The 15790-nt window shown below is 39.9% G+C and overlaps 1 long non-coding RNA gene across 1 annotated transcript in view, besides 1 other annotated feature; it reads right to left on the bottom strand.

Annotated features, from left to right (window-relative positions):
* Nucleotides 1–15790, bottom strand: part of LINC01189 (long intergenic non-protein coding RNA 1189) — a 69529-nt gene that overhangs the window by 2487 nt on the left and 51252 nt on the right. The window contains exons 3-4 of the long non-coding RNA NR_046203.2: nt 1447–1542; nt 1077–1162 (exon numbers count right to left, since the gene is read on the bottom strand). This is a non-coding gene — a long non-coding RNA (long intergenic non-protein coding RNA 1189). The remainder of the gene's footprint in view (nt 1–1076; nt 1163–1446; nt 1543–15790) is intronic.
* Nucleotides 7294–8248: an enhancer, noted in NCBI's record as "OCT4-NANOG hESC enhancer chr9:46822585-46823539 (GRCh37/hg19 assembly coordinates)". NCBI's record gives its function as "activates a minimal SCP1, AML or CMV promoter by ChIP-STARR-seq in primed H9 embryonic stem cells {active_cell/tissue: H9 hESC(primed)}" and the evidence as "EXISTENCE:reporter gene assay evidence [ECO:0000049][PMID:30033119]".

The following is a 15790-nucleotide window of genomic DNA, read 5'->3' as shown; positions in this document are numbered from 1 at the left end:
AAACATTAGGGTACCAAAGGAACTAGGAAACAAAAACTTCTTATTAGAGAGAGAAATTTTTAAGTGAGGCACACATTCTAATGATAGTAATTTGTTTTTGACATTTTATTAATATTTTGATAACACTAATAAAATCCAAAGGGGCAAGCAGGTATTACTGTCTCAGGGTGGGCCCTCTTTTGTCATCCTCTGTAAGATCGCAGTCATCAAAGAGCGTGACCCAAGAAGAAAGTAAAACAGTGGAACAAATGAGCATTTCTCTAAATACAAACAGTAGAGTCCTTGAGAAAGAATCCTTTAAGGCCTTAGATTTCTTTAAACATTTTTAGATAAATAGTCTGGCCTATGCAGAACAAAATGAAATGGTGATAATGAACAGGATAGTGAAGTTTTGTACTGACATAAATGGCGAGTTGATTAATGCTTAGGATAGTGTGAAAGAAGAACTGAATGAAAAATGAAAATCGAAAGAAGAAATACCCAGACAGACCCTTTCCTAAAACATGCATCATAAAATATTTAAAAGCATCTGCTTTAATGCATGGGCTGAGTCAAAGTAAGGCAAATTTTCAGATATCTAGAAGAGCAAAAAAAGTCTGAATCCAGAGGTGTGAGTGTCTCATCTGGCATTTGCCCTGCGGTGCCTCCCAGGACCTACTGGCCCAGACCCATGAGCACCTAATTCAGGAAACAGAGACTGATGCCCATGCAGGAAGGAATATAGGCTAAAATGCCTCCTGCATAAATCTAGGATTTCTAAAAAGAAGCACGTTAAGTGCCTGGGCTAGGAAAATCCCACCCCCATAAGAAAGTGAAAATATGTGCTTGTCTTGGTCCCAATAGGGTAGACAAAAAAATGAAAAATAAAAAACGTATGATAATTTCTAAATACAAAACAATAGCCATATTGGTTTGGGTTTGAATTCACACTATCTATGGGCCTGAGAAATACCAGGGTGGAAATTAGCCTCTGGTAGCAAGAGCTGAGGCCAGCCAGACTTCCTGGGTCGAGTGGGGACTTGGGGAAATTTCCTGTCTTACCAGAGGATAGTAAAATGCACCAATCAGGAACTTACCTGTCTCACGAGTTCTGTGAAATGTACCAATCAGCGCTCTGTAAAACGCACCAATCCATGCTCTGTAAAACACACCAATCAGCGCTCTGTAAAACACACCAATCAGCAAGCTCTGTAAAAACGCATCAATCGGCAGGATTCTAAAAGTAGTCAATCACAGGGAGGATTGAAAAAAGGGCACTCTGATAGGATAGAAACGTGACAAATAAGGGAATAAAACCTGGCCACCCCCCCACCCCCACCCCAGCAGCAGCAACCTGCGTGGGTGCTCTTCCCCGTTGTGGAAGCTTTGTTCTTTAGCTCTTCCCAATAAACCTTGCTACTGCTCACTCTTCGGGTCCTTGCCATCTTTAAGAGCGGTAACACTCACCGTGAAGGTCGGCGGCTTCATTCTTCAAGTCAGCAACACCACGAACCCACCAGAAGGAATCAACTCTGGACACAGCAGTCCTGAGAGCTAATTAATCTGAGTAGAATCATAAAGATAAATATATTTTTCACACATACTTGGAAACATATTTTGTAACACAGCTTTTCTTGTGGTTAAGTGAAGATAGTAAATTTTACAATAAGCAACACTGGGACCACTGGTCTCCATAAGGGGGAAAAAAGGAAATTGAAACTTAATCCCATAGACCAAACCTAAAAATATATTTTAATGGATAAAGATACCTTCTCAACATTCTTAGAAAAAAACTGTGGAGCATCTCTTTTATCTTTACATAGGGAAGAAGAACAAACGGCAAGAGTAAAAACTAACTTGATCACATAAAAATTTAAGACTTCTGTTTATTGGATACCGCAATGAGAAAAAAATATGCAAAACTTGGCAGAGATATTTGCAACACATGTTACCTAGACAGGTTTAGTATCCAGAATATATAAAGCTCTCCTATAAATTAATAAGTGAAAAATAACACCTCAAGAAGTTAGCATAAATAGCCCATAAGCATGTGAAAAAGTGCTCAACCTAATAATAATCATGAAAATGAAAATTAACAATTAGATACCCTTTCACACATATTGACAAAATTTTTTGGAAGTTCTGAAAGGTGTAGTATTGGCAAGGATAAAGAACCGTGGAAGCATTCATCCCATGCAAGTAGAAGGACAGCCATTTGGAAAACGGATGTTAGCTCATACAGCTGATCATGCATGTACCCTATGACCCAGTGGCTTCACTACAACCTAGTGCAATCTAGTCAGCCTGTTACAGGCCCCAGAAAAATTCTTGCATTTGTTTACCTAGGGATATATGAGAATGTTCACAATTTTAAAAACCTGGAAACAATCCAGTTATCTCTCAATATGGGTAGATTGTGGAATAGGTAACTAAATGATCATATATTCCAATAATAGAGTACCTCGCAGCACTAAGAGTGAATGAACTGCAGCTACTCACATTCTCAAACACAGCACTGCAATGAGATACTACTGCATGCATATTAGAATGGCAAAAATCCAGAACTCTGACAACACCAAATGGTGATGAGGATGTGAAGCAACAGGAACTCTCATTCAGTGCTGATGGAAATACAAAATGGAGAATAGTTTTGTGGCATCTTAGAAAACTAAATCCACTCTTATTATACGACCCCGCAATCTTGTTTCTTGGTATATACCCAAAGGAGTTGAAAACTTATGTCCACACAGAAACCTGCACACAGATGTTTATGGACGTTTTATTTATAATTGCAAAAATTTGGAGACAAGATTACCTTCAGTAGGTGAATAATTAAACAAACTGTATTACATCCAGACAACTGAATACCATTCAATGATAAAATAAATGGCTGTCAAGCCATGAAAAGACACAGTGGAAGCTTACATGCATATTGCAGAATGAAAGAAGCCAATCTAAAAAGGCTACGTATGTCACTTCCAACTTTATGACCTTCTGGAAAAGGTAATACTATAGAAATAGAAAAAAAAATCAGTGGTTCCCAGGAGTTAGGAGGAAGAGAGGGATGAATAACCAGAGCACAGAGGATGCTTAAGGCAGTGAAAGTACGTGTATGATATTTTAATAGTGAATACTTGTCATTGTAAATTTGTCCAAGCCCAAGTGTGAACCTTAATGCAAACTATAAGATGTATCATGTAGGTTCTTTAATTGTAACAAATGCACCACTCTGGTGGGGGATGTTTATTATGGGGGAGGCTATGCATGTGTGGGGGACAGGGAGTATATGGGAAATCTATACCTGCTGCTCAGTTTTGCTGTGAACTTTGAACTGCTCTTAAAAATAATGTGTGTATGTGTGTATATATACATACATATACATGTTTGTGTGTATGCATATCTGATCATAAGAAACAATACATAGTTTCACTTATTTAAAAAGTCAAATGTGCAAAACTAAACAATATACAAGTCTGTAATGACAAGCAATGGAATGATTAACAGGAAGTTAGGGATAGTGGTTACCTCTTGTGGAAGGAGTGAGTGGCATTGTAGAAGGGCAATGGGAGTTTCTAAGATACTGGAAATATTCTATTTCATAACCTGAAGGAAGGACACATATGCTCATTTTATATTCTTCTTAAGCTGTACATACACACTTTTATATTTATGATCTATTTCATTAAGTAATAAGACAATTAAATATATGCATTTGTAAATAAGTGAGATTAACAAATTTTTGGATACATTTAACTTATTAAAGTTGACTCAAATAATTAGAAAATCTGGATGGAAATCATACCATTAAAGTAATTGAGTTGATAATTAATAATTCTACAAAGAAAACAGGATGCCCAGATGATGTCACAAGTAGTTCCAATGTTACACTAATTATTTGCGAGGGGAGAAAAAAGAGGCCATTCTTCAATTCATTTGAGACTAGGGTAACCTTGCTATTGTGTACCTCATCCATGCACACAGAGACAAATATTGTAAACAAAATACTAGGAAGTATACCTAGCAAAGTATAAAAACCATGAACAAGCTCGGTTAGTAATACAAATTTAGTTCAATGTTAGAAAATCTACTGAAATCATCTCCTTATCAATGAATTAAAGACAAAAGTTATATGATTGTCTCAAAAGGCCTATAAAATTATTTTACAAAAATTAAATAATTCATGATATTTCCACCTATGAATAAAGGGTAATTTCCTTAACCTGATAAAAGGAGTCAACAAATAACCTACAGCACCTATCATGTTTTGTGATTAAAAATATCGAAATCACTCCTTTTAAAATCAAGAAAAAGACAAGAGTACCATTGTCACTAAACTGCTTCCAAAGCTTATACGGAAGATAAAAGGGCCCAGTATAACTAAGACAATCCCATAGAAGACTAAAGTGTGTGAAGGTGGGAGGTGGAGCTTATGTGAGTCTATCACGTACCAGATTTACTGTGAAGTTATAATTACCACAGCAGGAATTGCTATTGTGAAAGTGTATGCTTGTGTGAAATCTTGATGTATGCCCTGGCTAACATTACAGAACAGTCAGAAAGGGTCTATATAATCCATGGTATGAGCAGTTGGTATCCATATGGGAAAATATCAGAATGGATCTCTATCCCAAAAATGGATCGCTATCACACAAAGGCCAGATCTAAATGGACAAAGGACTTAAATTTGAGATGCAAATATTTAAAAATCTTTTAGAAGAAAATATAGGAGGGTAACTTATTACATGCCACACCTACTATGTGTACTTTGTTCGATGCAAGTGTTGTATATGAGTGTAGTATGTTAAGTGTAGATGCCTCTAAGCAGTATATGCATGCTTGCTACTTTACACACGTGAAACACTGGGAATGGGAGCATGAGAGGAAACCCTAGGTCATTCTGGTCTCCAGACTGCTGCTCCTGCCCACCCCCGGTTCCAGCACTCCCTTCCCCATTCTCCTATACAGATCCTCTGTTCCCGGCACAGCCACTTACAGCAGCTCAAGCCAGCGGCACCCACGGAGAGGCCCTCTTCACCCTACTGCTGGGCTGTCATGTCCCCTTTCTTTTCTTTCTGAAAAACAGTTTTCTCTGCCTGTGACTCCTCATGTTTCACTCTCTCTAAAGCACACGGAAGCCCGGTTCCCTCCTCTGCTTTATCAGACCTGTTGCTGTGAGTTCCACTAGTGACCCTGCATGACAAATTCGGAGGTTTGCTCCCTTTTGCATAGCGTAAAATGTTTACCTCGTGACCTACTTGATAAATACAATTTTATAATTGTTAAGCTATCTATATATTCTGTATCTGTTTTAAAAATTATGTATAGGCCAGGCAAGGTGGTTCACGCCTGTAATCCCAGCAGTTTGAGAGGCCGAGGCAGGAGGATCATGAATTCAGGAGATTGAAACCATCCTCGACAACATGGTGAAACTCCGTCTCTACTAAAAATACAAAAATTAGCTGGGCATGGCAGCAGGCACCTGTAATCCCAGCTACTCAGGAGGCTGCGGCAGGAGAATTGCTTGAACCAAGGAGGTGGAGATTGCAGTGAGCCAAGATTGTGCCACTGCACTCCAGCCTGGCGACAGAGTGAGACTCCGTCCTCACACACCCCCCCAAAAATATAAAGACAATGTCAGTTATGCCACACATAGATTGTTTTTATTCCATAAAACTGCTCTCCATATGTGTAATATGTTTCTACTTCACACATAGTTTTGATCAAAGATTAATCTATTTCATACTTTTCTTAGTAATTAATAAAACTCAGCTTGGATTTCTCTAGCCAGATAAAACACCTTATACTAAATGAATCAATCAAAGCTCTTTGTTGGAGTGAGATCTGAAAGCTTTCGCTCAAGCTGGCTGCCTCAGCTTCACAGCATCAAATAATGGAGGGAGAAGTGGAGGCTGACATGCAGCAAGAATGACTGTGTGTGTGTTGGAGAGATATTTTGTTTAATTCATTTACAAGATACTCATGCCACACTGCTACGTGCCAAACAGCTGTTCTTGCTACTTGGTAAAAATTAATCATCTAATAGTTGAAAAGTTAATTGTTGTAATGTGACTTCAGTATGGCCACTCTCCGGGATTGGGAGCCAAAAAAAAAAAAAGCATCACCATCATGATTGAGAAATGGAGTTACTGGCAGTAGTGGAGCAAACCACGATTCTGCACTTGGACACAGAATTATTCCTGACAAGATCCTGGCTCTTAACTCTTCCACCAAAACTGAGTCTGCAGCTCCCACACTGAAATGCTGCTCATTTCACCCCAAGTGTGTTCCAGCCGTTCCTTCTTCTTCTCCTTCCTACCAGCTCTGTAATGTCTCCATCACAATGCTAAGGTCAGGGTCAATGGCACCTCTTTTTAGAAACTTTCTGAGAGCCCTGGAAAGTAATCTCTTCTTGTTCTTATTCCATGATCTCCTGTACGTTCTTTTTCTTTTTTTTTTGAGACGGAGTCTCGCTCTGCTGTACCTTCTTTAAATCACTGATGATCATTTGTGTAGATGAGTTGTCTCCGTGTGTGTCTGACCTTTCTCCCAGTTGGTGAGTTTTGGAATCCAGGAAGCATTTTAGTAAAGTAATAGTTTTTAGTAATTTAGTTCACCTCTGTGCACCCTACAGCCGTTTCTCACATGTTGGGGCTGCCCAGTGAGCACTTGCTGAGGGAAACTGCAGGGAGACTTGCAGGTCAGGTTCACTGAGCCAGAAAGTGAAGCAAACTGAGAGGGCAAAGTGCATGAAACTGGCTGAAATATACGAACACACTGGGGAAACAAACATCTCCAGCCTCTGTGGAGGCGGAACACAGTTGCTGAGGTCTGTGATTCAGCAGCACCCACCTGGCAAAGCATGCCCAGCATCGGGCTTCGTTCTCCCATAGTGCTTTCATGGCGAGGAAGAAAAGCTATACATACTAACATGGGCCAGCTGGAAACCACAACTATATAGTATTGCTTTTCAGCTTTTCAGCTGGAATTCCGAAAGAATTCTGAGGTCATGTAGAATGCGGCATACTGTTAGATGGGGCCTGGGTGGGCTTGGTGTTAGAGGACCTGCCCCAGGTCATGGTCTGTGGTGCGGAGGGAGGGTGTGATTTCCCATCCCCTTCTTATCTCTTTGTCCCATCTTTTTTGCCCTGTACACACATGATCGTCCTCAATATCTTAAGTAGGATCTCCCATATAGCTAAAATTGACATTGGCATCTAAAGTATGCCTAACTTAGCTGAATATTTGGCCTTTGCCTTTAAAGGATCTGTAAGTTATTGGGATGAGACCAAGGAGAAAAAGGAAGACCATAGATAAGCATAATCTGCCATCCAATAATTTCATGACATGCTTATCCTTGGAATAAAGTTGACCTGTTATCAGGAAACTGTCCCACCATTTTTTTTGCATGTAGAGACCTCCATTGCTATGGCCTCCATTGTAATGGGCTGTCATTGGGTTTGAAAAAAGTCTACATGTTGATTTTCATGGCAATAAAAGAGTCAGAGGTGCAAGCTGGAACAAGGTGCTCGCCAAAGCTAGGCCTTTCCCCTCCCTCAGGAACTGGCAACAAGAGCAAGAGTTAGCTTCCTGAATGTTTGCATTTCAAAGAGAGAACTCTCAGGTCTTTGAGGAGACAATTCTGGGATGTAGATTTACACTTCAAAGGTGGAGAAAAATTTATAATTGCAAGCTTTCTAAGGTTCTAAGAGGGGATTCGGGGCTCTACCTGCCCATCACCAGGTTTTGCCTGAAACAAACAGTAAATTTTCTTTGCAAGTGAGCTTTTTCAGGCAGTCATTTTAAGAGGGCTGGGGTCATCCGCGGGACACCCTTGTGCTGCCGGAAGCCTCACTAGCGTTTGGTCCTCTCTTTGGACAGGGGTTTGGAAGTAGTTAAGTACTGCGAGGCCTGCATTCTCATGACCAAAGCTCACAAATGCCCATTTCTTTATTTCTTTCATTTTAATCTTTGAAATATTTATGTGTCTCTTAACACCTCTTGGAAATTTCCATCCCTTTCGAGCTATGTTCCAGTCAAACCAAACAAAGCGTGGCCCAGCAGCCCTGGGGAGTCTCTGGGTGAAGGGGAGATGAGCACACAAATGTTGAGAGTTTGAGAACCCCTGGCCTTGATTTTTATAATAGTTGGTCAAGTGGTCATCAGTGAAATCCACAGGGATTCCCTGAGAGTGTATAGCTTTGGCATGATGGTTGCTGTAATCTGAAGGGGAAAGTAGAAGTTTACATGTGAGTACTGAAGAAGCTTGAGACAGAGTCTCGCTCTGTCACCCAGGCTGGATGAAGTGGGGCCATCTGGGCTCACTGCAACCTCCGCAATTCTCCTGCCTCAGCCTCCCCAGTAGCTGGGATTACAGGCTCCTGCCACCACGTCCAGCTAATTATTTTTTTCTTTAAAATTAGTTTTTATTTAAAAAGTACAAATAGCACTTTACTTTTACTTTTGCAAAAAGTAAAGAAATGGTGTTTTGTTACAAAAATTAAACAAATAAATTTTGGATTGTAGAAAATTCATTAAAAACTCAAGTTTTAATTCAGTTAAAATCCATCTAGTGCTGTAAGTGTGGCTGTTGGCAGATGTCTTATTTATTTTTCATATATTAATTTATATTATTAATAACTAATTTTTTATTTATTATTCGTGAGCCCTTTCCCATGACAACTTCTTGGAAATTTCTTTCTCTCCCACTGACCTAGTATTATCTCTCAGGCATTCTTATTTAAAGTTTTTCCTCTCATTATTCCCTTCTTCACCATCATTCCCAGGTTGGTTACAAAGAACTAATTTAATGACCCATTTACTCTGAAGGGAGGCGCAAGAAGTGAAGCTTCTTTCTGAGGCCTTAAGGGATCTCACCTCCTTAAATCTCTGTTTTCCTACCCCTACTTCAGATATTATTGAGACATTATGTTTTCTTCCTCTACCTTCAGAAACTTCAGTATCAACAGGTCCAGATCTGCCTAAGCCCTCAGATGAGTCTGCAAACAATCATTGTGTCAACATTTGACTCATGCCTTGCAGATGATCCCAGGCACCACTGTCTTAACCTGTGAAAACCATAAATTCTTGGCACAAACAACTTCTTCTGCACATCCCTCCTCCTCATACATACACTAAGAGACTTGGCCAAATTCCAACACAGTGTCTATCAGCTCCGAGCCACGTCCCTACGATGCCCCATACCCCTCTAAAGCACCTGCCTGGGAACATTCAATTCTGCCAAAAGAATTTACTGTTTGTCCCACCCAAAACTTGACTATAGGTCCCTGACCTCCCATTTCTAAGAGGTTTAACTTTAGAAAACCTGCAATGGCCAGGCGTGGTGGCTCACACCTGTTATCCCAGCACTTTTGGAGGCCGAGGAGGGCAGATCACGAGGTCAAGAGATCGAGAACATTTTGGCCAACATGGTGAAACCCTGTCTCTACTAAAAAGAGAAAAATTAGCTGGGCGTCATGGCACACACACGCAATCCCAGCTACTCAGCAAGCTGAGGCAGGAGAATCTCTTGAACCTGGGAGGCGGAGGTTGCAGTGAGCCGAGATTGTGCTCAGAGTGAGATTCTGTCTGGAAAAAAAAAAAAAAAAAAGACAGATAACCTGCAGTTATAAACCCTTTCTCTGCCCCTTTAAATCTCCTACAACATGGAAATGTCTTTCTGAAAGACTTGGGAGCCATCCCTTTGGACTATAAGGATCAAGAAGGATACAGGATTGTCTCCTGGTCTCTGTCTCTGCGTAGGAACCTAATTTTGATAAGCACTATTAGCAAACACAGATGGCCTCATCACATTGACCAACCTTTCCCCAAACATCAGTCCATGCTTTTCCTTTAGCACACTCCAACATTTGCAGAGCCTCTTGCTTTTTGTTTCAGTGAAGTTGAGGCTTTCTAACATACTATAAATTGATATGTCTACTTATTGATTAGAAGACAGAAATTAATCACTGGATTTCATTATCACGCTGACTTTTAGGATTACAAGCAGCCTGTGGTTACAGATGCAACATCTTTACATTTCTAAGAAAAACAGGAGAGATTTGTCTTTGGCTCCTTTGGACCTCACTGATTAATGGAAAAGAGAGGATTGAGTAGGTTTGGATGATACAGCACAACTCAGTTTAAAGTTCCAGGCAAAGAAAGCAACGGTTATTTTTCACTCCAGAGAGTGAATCATTCTTTGGGGCCACAAAAGAGAAGATTTGAAGAATAAGCAGGGACATCTAGAAGGTGGCTGAGTGTACTCCATCGGGTTAAATTAAGCTATTTTGTTGTTGTTCAAATAGCTTCCCCACATGGTACATTTCATATCTAAAGTGTTATTCCCTCTCCCATCATTTTATTACATACGCAATATCTGGCTGAGAACCTCTTTCTTGCCCTCCTTCTTACTGGTTAAGAACACAAACAGTCCTCTCTTTGCACAGCAGTGCAGGGCCATACAAATCACTATGCAAGCTGAAGATCTGTAAAGTGACCTAAACAATCCATGTGAAACATCGACTGTTCTGTGTCATTTAAAAATTTTGGCCAAAACATTAAAAATCTCTTACTGTTGGTTATAAATGTATAAGGAAATGAAACATAGTGAAGTTAGTACTTTTTTTTTTTTTTGAGATGGAATCTTGCTCTGTCGCCCAGGCTGGAATGCAGTGGCGTGATCTCAGCTCACTGCAACCTCCACCTCCTGGGTTCAAGCTATTCTCCTGCCTCAGCGTCCCAAGTGGCTGGGACTATAGGCACGTGACACTACACCTGGCTGATTTTTTGTATTTTTAGTAAAGGTGGGGTTTCACCGTGTTACCCAGGATCGTCTTGATCTCCTGACCTCATGATCTGTCCACCTTGGCCTTGCAAAGTGCTGGGATTACAGGAGTGAGCCATCACGCCTGGCCAGTACTTAGTTTATACACTGTAATTTAAAACATTAAACAACAGCCAGTTAAAGTGCTTTATTTATTTATAGACGTGTATCAAGCCCAGTTTGAAAAGTGCTTGCCTCCCTCTTGTCGTATAGCTTATGATAAGGAGCCAGCAGTGTTTCTATGCCTTGGTGAACTGTCGTGCTGTTTTCGGAACAGCATCTAACATTGTCAACGTCATGCAATATCTACAAGAGTTCCTTTAATATGAAGTTTGTTGCTGTCTTTGCCGGCATCACTTCCTCTGGGGCTTCTTCATCCTTTTAATCACAGCTGCGTTCCTCATTTATGTCAGAACACTGCGTTGCGCCGAGTTCCTCTTGCCGCGTTTCCTGTGGTGAGCCAATTCTATGATTCCATTTACATTGTATTTGAATCCACTTCCAGGGTTATCACATTTTTTATTTCTTTGCTGCACATCAATGGTTGTTGACAAGTTTTTTCTTCTGATTATTCATATTTATAAATGTCACATGGGTTTCTCACTGGGAGACAAGGAATCAACACGATTGCAGACTTTGCTGTCTGTGTGCGAACTAGCTGATGCACATTGATCAGTCACTGGCAGGCTTTGAAGGAAGTGAATTGTGTTCCCCAAAAAAGATATGTTTGAAATCCTAATCCCCAATATCTCCAAATAATATCAGCTTATTTGGAAATAGCACATTTACAGAGGTTCTCAAGTTAAAATGAGGTCATTAGGGTGGGTCCTAATCCAATAGACTAACTGGTGTCTTATAGTGAAGGAGAATTTGGATACAGCTCCAGACACACACACAAAAAAGACGATGTGAAGACACACTGAGAAAATGCAGTGACATATCTGTAGGTCAAACAACACCAAGGATGGCTGGCAAACCCAAACAGGAAGGAGAGGGGAAGAAGGATTCTCCCCTAGAGCCAGCAGAGAGCATGAACCTACCAACACATTGATTTTTGACTTCTAGCCTCCACAACTACGAGTCAATACATTTCTGTTGTTTTAAGCAACCCGGTTTTTTGTACTTTGTTGCAGCATCCCCACAAGATTAATACAGTCCCTGATCATGATGCTTGTCTGTTATTTACTCACACAGGCATTTGTGGAATTAAGAGCTGGGAATGAAGTTTGGATTTTATGCAGTTGCTCACAGTTAGCATATGGTGGTAACCGAAATTGTAACCAGGTTGTTGGGAGACTAGTGCTATTTAACTAAACTATGTTAATTAAACCTGTGCATATTCAAATGTGCAAAGCCAGGACTGTTTTTACTTAGTTCAGGTATTTAGAGGGAAAGAATGTTTGCCTCTTTTCAGGGCTTTGGAGCATGCCCTGTGCCAGCAGGCCCCTTCCACAGCTACTTAACATCTCTTCTCGTCTTACTAGCCACCTCTCAACTCAGATGACCAGCAAGGCCATCTTTGACTATCAGAATGAAGTAGCCCGTCTCCACTTTTGATTACATTCATTTGCTTTATTGTCTTTACAGCATTTTTATTTACTAAAATAATAGTCTTTCATTACTTGATTCTTACCTTGATTCAGTACTTCTAAAAAATGCAGATTACAATTCAAATGAGAAACCAAGTTGACTAACGTTAAAACGTTTGATACTATTAAGTATTGTTGAGAATATAGATCTACCAGAACCTTTAACTTCTCATGGGAGCATAAATTGGAAAACAGTTCATTTTAACGTAGTAAAACCAACAGTATACAAATCTTTTGACACAATTATTTGAATGTTGGGTTTATACCTTAGAGAAAATCTACCTTTTATGTCCAGGAGACTCATACAAGAAAAGGACATCTAGTTTTGTAATAGAAAAAAATGGATAACCCCAATCTAATAAAATGGAATGCTCATTATAGTATTATCCTGTGATGGAATACTCTAAATCAATGCACAGAAAGTACAGACAAACATATCATAAGAATGAATTTTACAAATTAAATATTGAACCAAAAAGCAATTTCAGAAAAATATATTCAGTGTGATTCCATTTGTTTAAACTGAAAAATATGTGAAACAATAATGCTCAATGTCCTTTACTAATGCATTTATTTTGGCAAAATTATAAAGATAAGAAATGGGACTCATTAACAGGACAGTGTTAAGGACTCTAAAAATACGGGTAGTTTTTTATTCTTAGGCAGGTAATGTGTACATCAGTGTTCATTTTATTATTTCTTACACTGTCTTCATGACTTACACATAATATTTTGCTAGTTTTAAAACATAAGATGTGATAATAATCTAAACAGACCAAAGGAAAAAAATGAATATGTTAAAAAAAAGACAGAGAATGAGCCCTGTCTGATAGAAAGCATAACAAAGCAAGTAGAAGAACTCTCACGAATGCTTGATCCAATAAAGCTAGGTTTGTGCTCCACAACACTTCAGCATTTTAATGTGATTTTTGATGTTTGCTTTTTGCAACGGTGATTCCCAGTTGCCTCCCTCCTATGTCTTTACAAGCTGAAATCAAGTGAAGCTACTTCTGACTTTTTCTAAAACTAAAACACAACATGAAGGTCTGCGTATTCTTTCACATGTGCACATATGTGGCACTTTTCCATGATGCAACAGCAGCGGGTCTCTAGCTAAGCTACAGCAGCAGCTCTAAGAGGCAGGGGACCCTGAAACGAGGCTGAAAAAAAGAATAGTCCATAACTGACATCAGGCAGGCTGCTGTTGTAAGCAAAGAAAGGAGGCTCACAGGGGCGTGGACTCAGGCCAGATCAGGCTATTGTGGGAGAACACGGAGCACATGTGTCAGCTGGAAAGGGGCCGGCTCAGGAGACAAAATAGGCACGAGAGGAAACCCAAAAATTGACATACATGACTATCCTTGTAGAAATGTATAAAGGTTTGGATTATTTTGCTTATCGAGTTATAATAAAGTTATTCTAAAAATGTTTATGTAAAGTATTATGTACATTTTTGTTACCTTATAAAGATTATTTATATTTGAGTTGTGTGGTTTTGGAATGACAGTATTTGTAAACTTGGTTTTGACATTCTCTACGATGCTTAATGAAGAAACTGACATTTAAAGCGATTCATTAATTCTCTTTGGTCAGTAGCTGAGCTGGGACAGAGTTCAGGTTTTCTGATTCTCAGCCTATGTTGTTTTCTCTTCATTTTAATGTGAACCTAAATATGTATAGGATCTAGACAAATATGACATGTAGTGCCTTATTTCTTGTTTTCTCTGTAATGAATGGCAGGTGAGATAACTTTATTTACAGAAGCCATCCAGTGGCTCAGGTTGCATCAGGTTGCCTTTGAATCATTTATTCAACGTCAGGATGGTAAAGTGAGGAGCTTCCCCAAACTGAAGCAGAGTGGCATCTGTCCCAGGTTGTAGAGTATTCCCTGCCATAAATAAAGACATGCTGGTTCTTGTTATTTATACAGGCACTGGGGTTCCCATTAGCTCTTACATTTCATATGCTTAGAGCAAGAAGCTAGAGAGTGACTTAGGATACAGTGTAAATATATTAGTAAATTAAGACAGTTCTGCAAGATTTTTAGGACTTCTATTTTTCTTCTATTCATCATTTATGAAGTATTCTTGCTAGAAATAGTTTATGTCTCTCTATCTTGCTGAGTGATGAATACTCGGCCAGGATGCTAAAATGTGGTTTCATGAAGTATGTTGTGTTTCTGTCTGTTCTTGTTTCCTTCCTTGAAATGTGTAAAAGTGAAAAACATACTAATCATAAATCAGGTATTCATCATAAGCCTAAAAAAAGATAAAATAATCAGTAGTATCATTGACTAAAATTATTACTCACCAAAAGAAACTCACTCCAAAGTTAGCGCAATACTAACAGAGAATACAAGTTTTGCCAGGAATCACTGAGGCTTAGTACCTCACATGGGAAACATGGGAAGTAAAACCACCTGAGGAGCCACTTGATGGTGAGTCAGGCTGTTCCTCAAAGAGTAGGCTGTGACTGCCAAACTTTGTAGGTTAAGGAGTATTTATAATGATCTTTGAGGAAACTGCAACTGACAATTGAGGGAAAAAATGTTAGTTCATGACTGCAAAATACATGACAGAGTCACAAAAACTATTTTACAAGTTTAAAAAAAAAACCTGATGCTGATGCAAGGTAGGCGAACCCCAAAGTGGTGCTTAGCCTGCAAGGGTTCTTGGCTTCACCCAGGAAAGGATTCAAGGGCGAGCCAGTGGTAAGGTGGAAGAAAACACCTTTATCAAAGCAGCACTGTTACAGCTCCTGCAGGGTCACAGCTCAGTGACTGCTCCCAGGGTTGCCCCATAGGCAGGGTGCCGAGAGTAGCAGCTGAGCCCAGTTTTGCTGTCATATGTATACCTGCTTTTAATTACATGTAGATTCAGGGGTGGTTTGTGCAGAAATTGCTAGGAAAAGGGTGGTAACTTTTGGGTCATCAGGTCATTGCTGCTGAAAGGGGTGGTAATGCCTGAGTGTTGCCATGGCAATGGTAAACTGACAGGGCACACTGGTGGGTGTGTCTTACAGAAAGCTGCTTCCACCCTGTCCTTGTTTAGCTAGCCCTCAATTTTTTGTTTGTAAATGAGCAAGAGAGTCATGGCCTTGGCGTTTTATCCCAGAAGTACAGTGGACCCCAGAGCACTCTAGACCCAAGGGCTAAACCAAATCACAGCATCCCACAGTTGTGTCCAGCCCTCCATCACTGATTGGCTGCAATCCAACAAGTGGCCCAGAGGGGAGGGTTCATTGAAAGCTCTTTGCTAAGTGACAGGTCTTTAAGAAGGAAAAGGCTCTTAAAGATTGGTATGGGATGGGGGAAGTGTTTGTGGTCACCACGGCACCCCAAGGCTGTGGCCTTCTCTGAGCACCATGAGACTCAGCCATGTCTTTCTCTCTGTTTTCCCAC

The sequence above is a fragment of the Homo sapiens genome, chromosome 9 (assembly GCF_000001405.40).
Source record: "Homo sapiens chromosome 9, GRCh38.p14 Primary Assembly".
Taxonomy (NCBI): Eukaryota; Metazoa; Chordata; class Mammalia; order Primates; family Hominidae; genus Homo; species Homo sapiens.
Note: the sequence above shows the minus strand (reverse complement) of the source record. Positions and strands in the feature narration are given on the sequence as shown.